The 9206-nt window shown below is 41.2% G+C and overlaps 1 protein-coding gene and 1 pseudogene across 1 annotated transcript in view; one reads left to right on the plus strand and one right to left on the minus strand.

The window, feature by feature from the left end:
* The window catches only part of SCGN (secretagogin, EF-hand calcium binding protein), a 49569-nt gene that overhangs the window by 19619 nt on the left and 20744 nt on the right, over nt 1-9206 (plus strand). The gene's annotated exons all lie outside the window — the stretch shown is intronic.
* PRELID1P2 (PRELID1 pseudogene 2) lies at nt 6946-7590 on the minus strand (annotated as a pseudogene).

Here is a 9206-nt window from a genome sequence, read left to right on the forward strand (position 1 = left end):
ATTGATTTAACAGAATGTTAGCACTGGCTGTTGTTATCTCGATTTTATTGACTTATAAAACATGACCTACTTAATGAATATATTTTCATGTAGAATCTCCAGCATGTTGCCAGTATTTGTTTGACTATCTTTGACTCTGAGGGGCTTGCCCCCACCTCCAGCTAACCATACTAAACCACTAAGGTTTTACTTCTTAATATAGCTCAGCTTCCCCCCTCACCAACTTTTTTCACCTGGTTCTTGCTCATCCTTCGATATTCAGTTAGATATCAACTTGCCCTAAAAAAAATCTTCTGTAGCCTTCCCTCCACGGTGAGCCCAGTACCCCTTCTCTGTGCCTGTGTAGTGCCTAGTGCATATCATTATCTTAGCCTCTTAATAATTTAATTTATTCCGCAAATATTCATTACATATCTACTATGCCCCAAGCATTATTCTAGTCACCAGGGATTCAACAGTGAGCAAAATAGACAAAGGGGAGACTGACAACAAATAATAAATGTAATTAATAATGCATTATATTGCATAACAGAGGGTGATGAGTGTTATGGAAAAAATTAAAAAGTGGAGTTGGGCCAGGAATGGCAGTACTAGCAGGAGCATTTGGGGTAGGGGACTGGGAAGAAGGGGTACTTTTCAATAAGATGGTCAGGGTGGCCCCTCTGAGAAGGTGAGATGTGAGGAGGGACTGAGGGTACAGGAGGCACAAGGCCCCTAGTGCAAGAGCGCACTTGGGATTTTTAAGAACAGGGAGAAACCAGCATGGCTGGAGCAGAGCAAGAAAGGATGAGACTAAACAGCAGCCAGACCATCACAGGATTTTTAGGCCATCGTGAGGACTTGGGGTTTTAGTGAGATGGAAAACGGCTAGAGGGCTATGATGCAGAGGATGTCAAGATTTGCCCCCTGGGTTGAGAAGAGTCCTCAATGGGCAAGTATGGAATCAGGAAGATCTGCTGAGAGGCCATTGTTGCCATCCAGGTGATGGAAGATGGCAACTTGGACTCAGGTGAGGTGGCAGAAGAGGTGAGAACTAAATATATTTTGAAGATAGACTTGAGAAGATTTCCTGATGAATCAGGTGGGAGTCAAGGATGAGACTGATGTTATCTGTTTATGGGTCTTGTACCCCACTAGCCTGTGACTCCTCAAGGGTGAGGAGAGCGTCTCACCTTCTTGTCTCAGCCTTCACATGGGACCTGACAAGTAGTAGCCTACTTAATGCAAGTTAAACTGAAATTTCAGTTGTTACCTAATAGCCAGCTATGATGAAACCATGACAAAATAAGGAACATTTGTCTTTGGGACCCTGCTATCTCCCCTGTCAGTGTTTCTTATGACCCTGTGCCCCTATTATGGCTCTTGCTCCCTCTTGGGGTGCTTGGAGGGTTGCATATTGCACATTTCAGCATTTTGTACAGACCTAATCTTCCCCAAGCAGAGCTTTATGCTCTGAAATTCTCCTTTTCCCCTCCCCCTTAAACCAGACCCTCCAGGGCAGAATCAGAAAGGGTGCAGTATGTGGCTGGAAAAAGATGATGCACATCACACATCAGGCCAGCAGCCCTAGTTGCCCAGAGTTCTTCCCTTCACAGCCTTCAGGCTTGAATTAAAGAAGCTTCAGGCTGGCATCATCTTACAATGGGATGTCCTGAGCTCAAGAAATTTCGATAGTATGCAATATTTTTAGCCTAGATTCGTAAGTCTAGAGTCCTGGGAAGTAGCTGAGGGAAATCAGAGTGATCTCACCCAATGTTTAAGTATCTAGGTTGAGAACTGTCCATTGGCCAAGATGGTCCTGTTATTCTATGTCTGTTTAATTGCCCACACCTCATAGCTCTTCTGCTCATGTGTGCTGCAGTTAAGTACTCATTTTGGTTCTAAATTGTCCCATGGAGACAGGTCCATAATCAAGCAAACTCCAGATGGCCCCTGTGTTAGGCCATTCTTGTGTTACTATAAAGAAATACCTGTGACTGGGTTTATAATTTATAAAAGAAGGTTTCATTGGCTCATGGTTCTGCAGGCTGTACAAGCATGGTGCTGGCATCTGCTTTGCTTCTGAGGAGGTCTCAGGGAGCTTTTACTTATGGTAGACAGTGAAGCAGGAGCAAGCACATCACATGGCAAAAGCAGGAACAAGAGAGAGAGAGAGCCGAGGAGGATGCCACACACTTTTAAACAACCAGATGTTGGGAGAAATCATTCACTATAGCAAGGACAGCACCAAGGGGATGGTGCTAAACCATTCATCAGAAATCTGCCCCCATGATTCATCACCTCCCATCAGGCCCCACCTCCAACACTGGGCATTACATTTCAACATGAGATTTAGAGGAGACAACATCCAAGCTATATCAGCTTCTCATTGGCTTTTTATGCACTGAGGTGAGAGCCAAGTGTGGAGAAAGCTGGTGAAAGAGTTTCCACCCAAAGATTTGAGTTTGATCAGAAGACAAAATGAGTTCAATGAAATTTTGACCAATCTATTTCATTTTTCTTCCCTAAGTTATAGAGGTGACTTATACTTTTCAACAAACAGATTTTGGAACTTGACAGTTGGTTTTTTAAAAGACTTTTTACATTTCCCTAGAAATTTTTGGGTGTACTAACTTCTAGGAACTTAACTTTTTAGAAAATGACTTCTGCATCCTGAGCTCTCATACACCAAGCGTGAAATCACGTTATTGCTGCTTTAATGGATTTTTATTGAGCAATGGACATAGTCATGGCAATACTGTATTAAAGATTTTGTTCTCAGGTTTAGCATCAAATGCTTTACTTAAGAGATGTAACTTATTAAATGAATTCAAACTGATCTGAATAAGGATTGGCACATTTAAAAACTGGCTGAAGCATGACTAATGAGTGAGTTAAGGCAGAATGACCAAACAGAAGAGAAAAGCTGAGGTCTGCACACCTTGCCTTATCCTGATTCCTAATTAATGTTCTGGACAAGAAAGGAGACAGCCTATTATTAAAATCAAATTATGATACTGAATTTAGAGGTGCTGCCAACACCAGGCAGGAGGAAAGATTTAACTGTCTGGATAGAATATTTTTAGATAATATTTACTTTTGTTAAATTTAAGCTAATAATTCTGGCTGATGTTAAATCACATACCTAGAGCAGGAAACTTGAACTTTTATAAAACAACAAATTTAAATCTGAGACTATGGTGAGGTGGTAAATTAAAGAAAAATAAAAAGAAAGAGAAATAAGTTTTCCTGTATTAGGCTGACTTGTCCCAGAGGCAGCAACAGGCACAGTCCAGACCCAGGAAAAGTCTTGATAATATTATCTAACGTTCTCTGGAGACTTTCCCAGCACTCCCTCAACAAAGGGAGAAGAAAAACAAATTTTCCTTTATTTTATGAAATGAGTTTATAGATCCCTGTTCTCTATAACTAGTGACTTCAAGAATTCTGTTTTATCTAAGAAGTACAACAAAGGTCATAAGAAGCCTGAGTAGGCCTGAACTACAGCTGCCTGGGCACCATAGTGAAGGTTAGGAGATAAGCCCGTGCCCAGGCAAACCTAGATAATGGACACCTGGGTTGCTTGGCAACGGTTATGTGCAATCCTAAGTTTGTTCTGCCTCTGTATCCCTGCTTTCACGCCACTGTAAGCTTGCTTCAAGCTAGCCCACTCCCTTTTGTAAAGTGTATATAAAAGTCAAGTGCTGTCTTTATTCCAAGCCCTGTCTTTTGGACGTGAGTCGGCTGGCCTGAGTGCACTCAAGATTCTCCTGTTTCAACCCGAGGTCACTCTCGTCCTCCTAAATCCTGCAACAATGGCAGACAAAGAGGATGATATGAGTTTAAGCTTGTCCCCATCCATGATCCTGGTCTTGGCTCTCATATTTTATGCCTGGATCAAAGCAGCTCATATCTGCTTCCTTCTCTGGGTCTAGGTATTCATAACTGTGATCCAGGCCAATCTGATGCTCGTCTGGGCTCAGTCCTCATATCCCTTCTCTTCTATGTCCACTCTCACTCTTGGTGATCTCAACTAGTCTCACGGTTTTGAAGACCAACTAAAGGCTGACCACTCTTGATTTATATGTCTGATTCAGACCACTTCTCTAAACCTCTTGGATACACTTAGTTGTGTATCTCCACTTGAATTGCATGCCTAATATACACCTTCAACATGTCTCAAATTGAAATTCTGACCTTTCCCCAAAGATCTGCTCCACTACTGGGTCTTCCTCAAGCTTTCAAGTTGCTCAAGGCATGACACTTGAAACCATCTTTGATGCCTCTTTCTCTATCACTCCACATCTAACTGGCAAATCTTATTGAACACATTTAAATTACATTCTAAATCTGACCGTTTCTCACCCTGTTCCAAGGCACAATTATTTCTCAACTGAATTGCAAGATGCTTCCCAGCAGATCCCCCTATTTCCATTCCTGTCTCTTACCATCTCTATGAAACACAGCAGCCAGAGTGATCCTGTTATACTGAGTCGGATTATATAATTTTTCATATTGAAAACCTCCAATGGCTCTGTCTCTGAGAAAAAGCCAAAGTTCTCACACCAACTGCTCACACACCAAGTCATCACCTTTCCCACCTTATCTCCTTTTATCTCCTCCCCAGTCCTAGTCTTGCCACACTATTACCTGACATACTTTTGGTTACTCTGACATGCATGTATGTGCTGCCACAGGTTCTTTGCACTTGCCATATCCCTGCCAATCTATTTTTAACCCTGGTATGCATTTGATTTACTTCCATCTCTTTCAGGTCTTTATGAAAAAGTCACCTTTTACTTGAGGCTTTCCATTTCCATCCTATTTAAAATTGTACCTCCCAATTTGCTATTCTATATGCTACTTAATTTTTCCTCCAGAGCATTTAACATAGGTAACATGTATATTTCATGTTACGTATGTAAAACAGTCAGTATTTTACTTATCTGTCTTATTTTCCATCCCCTCTTCCATCCCCTCTTTCCAAATCAGCTCCATGAGAGCATGAATCTTTGTTTGTTCAGTAAATAGAACAGTGCCTGCCACATAGTAGGCACTCTATACATATTTGTTAAATGAATGAACGCACGAATAAATGAATGAATGATGCCAGTCACCTGTGCATGGATCTACAAAAGCTTAAACTCCTATTTATGGCTTTCAAACTCTTGCGTCATCTGGTCCCATTCTCTCTCCCTGTCTATCTTCTCTCCTCCACTCCCAGAACACCTCTTGTCCTCCCTGGTCACTCTCTATGGCTAAACTATTGCTAGCGTGTGAATTTCTATCTCGGTGCCTTTGTTCTTACATTTGCTAGTCTACAATGTCTTCCTCTCTTCTCTCTACCTCATGTCCAAATCCTATCCCTCTTTCAGAACTTACCTGAATTCTTATCTCCTTCCTCAGTCTCTTCCAATATCCTGTCACATTGCTCTGTCTCTTTTTCTCAGGGTTAAAGAGATAATGCTGAATCTTATTTGTTTACCTATAATTCAGATATTTGTTTCTGGCTCTTCAATTACAATTGTATGCCCTAAAATCATGTACCACCTTAATAATTGTTTGGGATATCTCATAGTGTGCAGAATGTTATTAGACACAGAGTAATTACCTGACAAATAATTGTCAATTGATAATATGGGAGGGGGGTTCTAAATCTTTTTTGGAATAGCATATGGCAATAATTTCCAGGCAGGAATGAGGATCTCCTTTAAAGTTTTTTTAAAAAAATAACTGCTAAAGAATGATTTCCAATAATTTATTAAATAAAAAAGGAAGTTGCAAGATAGTCTATTGCATATAGTCCTATTTGTCAAAAAATTAGATAGTTGTGATATATGTGTGTGTACATATATACATATGCTTGTATGTTTAAAAAGTTTCTGGAAGGATACATAAGACTCTGTGAATGGTAGTTACCACTAGAACAGGCAAGGGAGGGACTCACACTCTTGACTCTGCTGAATTATTTGCATGTTTTTCACCTTGGGCAGGCATTATACTAAAATTCTTCACTAAGAATTGTTTTAAAAAGTCACAGACTTCCTCTCCCACCACATGACAGTAGTTGTACTTCGAATCTATTGTTTAAGAAAATATCTATTGACAGGAAGTTACCCAGTAATGATTTTAAGTGATTTTGCATTTTACAATCACTATTGCACCTACAAAGATTTGAAAAACTAAAATATTATTCAATCTAAGGAGAATTCTGAAAAACTCCAAAGTCCCTGAGGAGTCTCTTGCCAGAGAATGGGAACTACCACACTTAGAATTTTAAGGCATTTGTTAATAAGACATTGTGTTCCATTTCTGGGAGCCTTTATAGCACCTTTCAGGTAGTTAATTCTCAAAAATGTGTGGATGGAGTATGGAGTATGAGTGCGAGTCTTGGAAAAGCAGTGGTAGAGGTGGGAAGAGTGATGAAGGGCTCTTCACCACCTTTCAGCAATTGCCCTTCACAATGGAAGGCATGCCCCCTACCACCGCCATCTTCAACTGCCACAGCCCTCCTGAAGTGAATTAGTGTAAAGAGGGAGGAAAAATTCAGGCCTATATTTATTTTCTTTTTTTTAAATTCAATAAATAATTATTGAATGTCTATATGTACTAGATATGTGCCAAGTACTTGGGGGCACATCACAAAACAAAACAAAGATCCCTGCCCTCATGGAGTTTGCAGTCTAGCATTTATTACCAATTTATCTGCAGCCTGTCTGTGATCCTGTGCAAGTCACCACACCTCTCTGTGCTTCTGACCTCAGCTGCCCAATGGGGAAATAAGCAGGACTGGCTCAGATATGGGTATGCCTGGTGTTCTGTAGATGCCAACAGGACACCCAACCTCAACCCACCACCCAGGAAGTAGGTAGGCTGGAAGTAAATTGGAAAAGGGCAGAGGGATTTGAACCAGGTCATCCGGAGTGCTGTGGCAGTGGTGGGCAGGGCCCAGGCTGGCTACATGCACTGTTGCTGCTATTGTGTCTCAGTGGTTGCCTTGCTCACTAGGTCCTTGGCCTTCTCCGCAGCTGTCAGTGCTGTCTTCTTTGCCTTCCCCTTGTCTTCCTTGGCTGTCCCAGCAGGTGTTTTGGAAGGTGCATCATCTGGCAGCTTGGCCAAGATATATTGAAAACTCTTCACAGTTACAATCATGTTGTTTTTGAAAAGAGCATGACCAAGTTCCTGGACAGTTCTGGAGATACTAGATAAGCTAGAGAACACCCAGGCTTCCCTGAGGATTTCGGACTAGTGCAGTTCTCAGAGTTCACACAGTAAATACATCGTCCCTCCACCACCATCAGCTGGGCATGGTTGATGCTACAGGTGAAGGTGGTCACTTCTGATTGTGTGGGTGCCCAGTAGAGTCCTCCAGGATGGACACTGGGTGAGCATCATTGGCAAGAAATAGCCACTCAGCCCAGCAGGACATCCCACTGGTCTTGGTCAGGAGTCACTGGGACAGGAGCTTCTGGGCAGGGGTCACCTCCTCATATTCTGTGTTTTTGGTCAGAGCATGTTTGCTATAGGGATTTGAGTACCAATGTCACAAGGCAGTGAACATTTGGTTTCAGAAATTCTGGAGCCTGTTCTGGCCTAGGAATACTTCATCATCATTCCAGCCAGGGTAAATGAGCACCCTTGCAGCTTCAGGGCACGGAGCCCCGTGGGCAGGTGTGTGTGTGTGCAGGGGATTGAAGGGGAGCTGGGTTGTGGGCTGAGGGCTGGCAGGGGCACTTGCTCATGGAGCTCAGGCTGTGACCAACCTGCCACCACTGCCTGGAGCAGTTGTCAGGACTAGGCTTATATCTCTTGGTTTATAGTCAAGGGTAGGGAAAATAGATAGAAATGAACTATATAAGCATGAATCCAGTGAAGTGAAAACTGGCAGTCTTAGAGTTGACTCAACTATCATGAAGTTTATATTTCTTTAGGGGAAATTCAGGCCACTGAATTGGAGGGAAATCCACGTAGAGTCTTTTCTTGCTTTCCCAGGGAAAAAGAGGCAATTAGAAAAGGTAAATATCACATCTCTGGCATAGTCTATGGCACCAGATGTTTTACTTCATAACCAAACATGAAGCAAACCAAATTCATGATGAGATATCCAGACTTTATAGAGCTAAGAGCCTGGTTTTATGGAAAGAGCTCTGGTGACAGATATACTTAGATTAAAATCTTGCTTCTTAAACAACCTACTTCAATCTTTCTAAATATCAGTTTCCTTATTTATTACAAACGCAGATTTTTTTTACATTATAAGGATGTTGTGATAATTAAATGTAATAACATAAAAACTATTGAGCCCTCATAAATGGTCTTTATTATAGTTTAAAAATTAAGAAGCCATTATGTCTCAAACAAATATGCCAAGCATTCAAAATTCACTAAAGGTTATACTTGCAAAGAAGCATAATGTCTTAATGTCACACAAGATCTGATTTCTAGTCTGGTGCTACAGGCATGCTGCAAGCTTCCCTCATTATTAATATTTGAACTTAGAGCTACAGAGGCCCCAGGAAAGTAGAAGAGCAGACACAGCCGAATATGTGTGCCATTCATCCCTGCTGGTATACACTCAGAGATGGAAAAATTAGGCAAATGATTTTTTTCCTGATTCTTATTCTTACGTGAGCCATAGCCAATTTTCTGATAGGTAGAAGCATAATTTACCACACTGGTGTTTAGTTCAACCCAGGCCAATTTCGAGCACAGGATTGTTTTCTCTTGGAGTAAGTTTGCACAGCAATGGAGTTAGGCCCACGTCTTTCAAGGTGAGTTGTTACTTGCTTAGAGCTCAAGCTGACCTAGCTTTCTATTAAGATAGAACCTCTCATAATGAAGGTGTCACAGAAAATAACTCATGGCTCATCTTCTGGCAAAGTTTATCCCCATCAGACTTTTTACTGGATACTGTATAGTGTTTATGTTTAAGGGACGTAATTGGACATGTAACATGTCCAAATGTATAAAAATGTAACCTGTGTTTTAATTCTGTAATACACATTTTTGGTGCCAAAGTGGTGAGAATAGGTTTTCAAATTCATTTGAAATATTAAAAATAAACTGGATTTGGAGACAGAGGAAGGATGGGGGACTAATGCATTTTTTAAAGCAAAAATCTGTTGGATGTATTTTCAGATTATCTCGCTCCCTCTTTTTCCCTGTGCAGCCTCCTTATATGGATATGCTTAGAGATATTCTGTAGCATTAAAATGTTGTAAAGTCAC

This window comes from Homo sapiens, chromosome 6 (assembly GCF_000001405.40).
Source record: "Homo sapiens chromosome 6, GRCh38.p14 Primary Assembly".
In the NCBI taxonomy this organism is placed as follows: domain Eukaryota; kingdom Metazoa; phylum Chordata; class Mammalia; order Primates; family Hominidae; genus Homo; species Homo sapiens.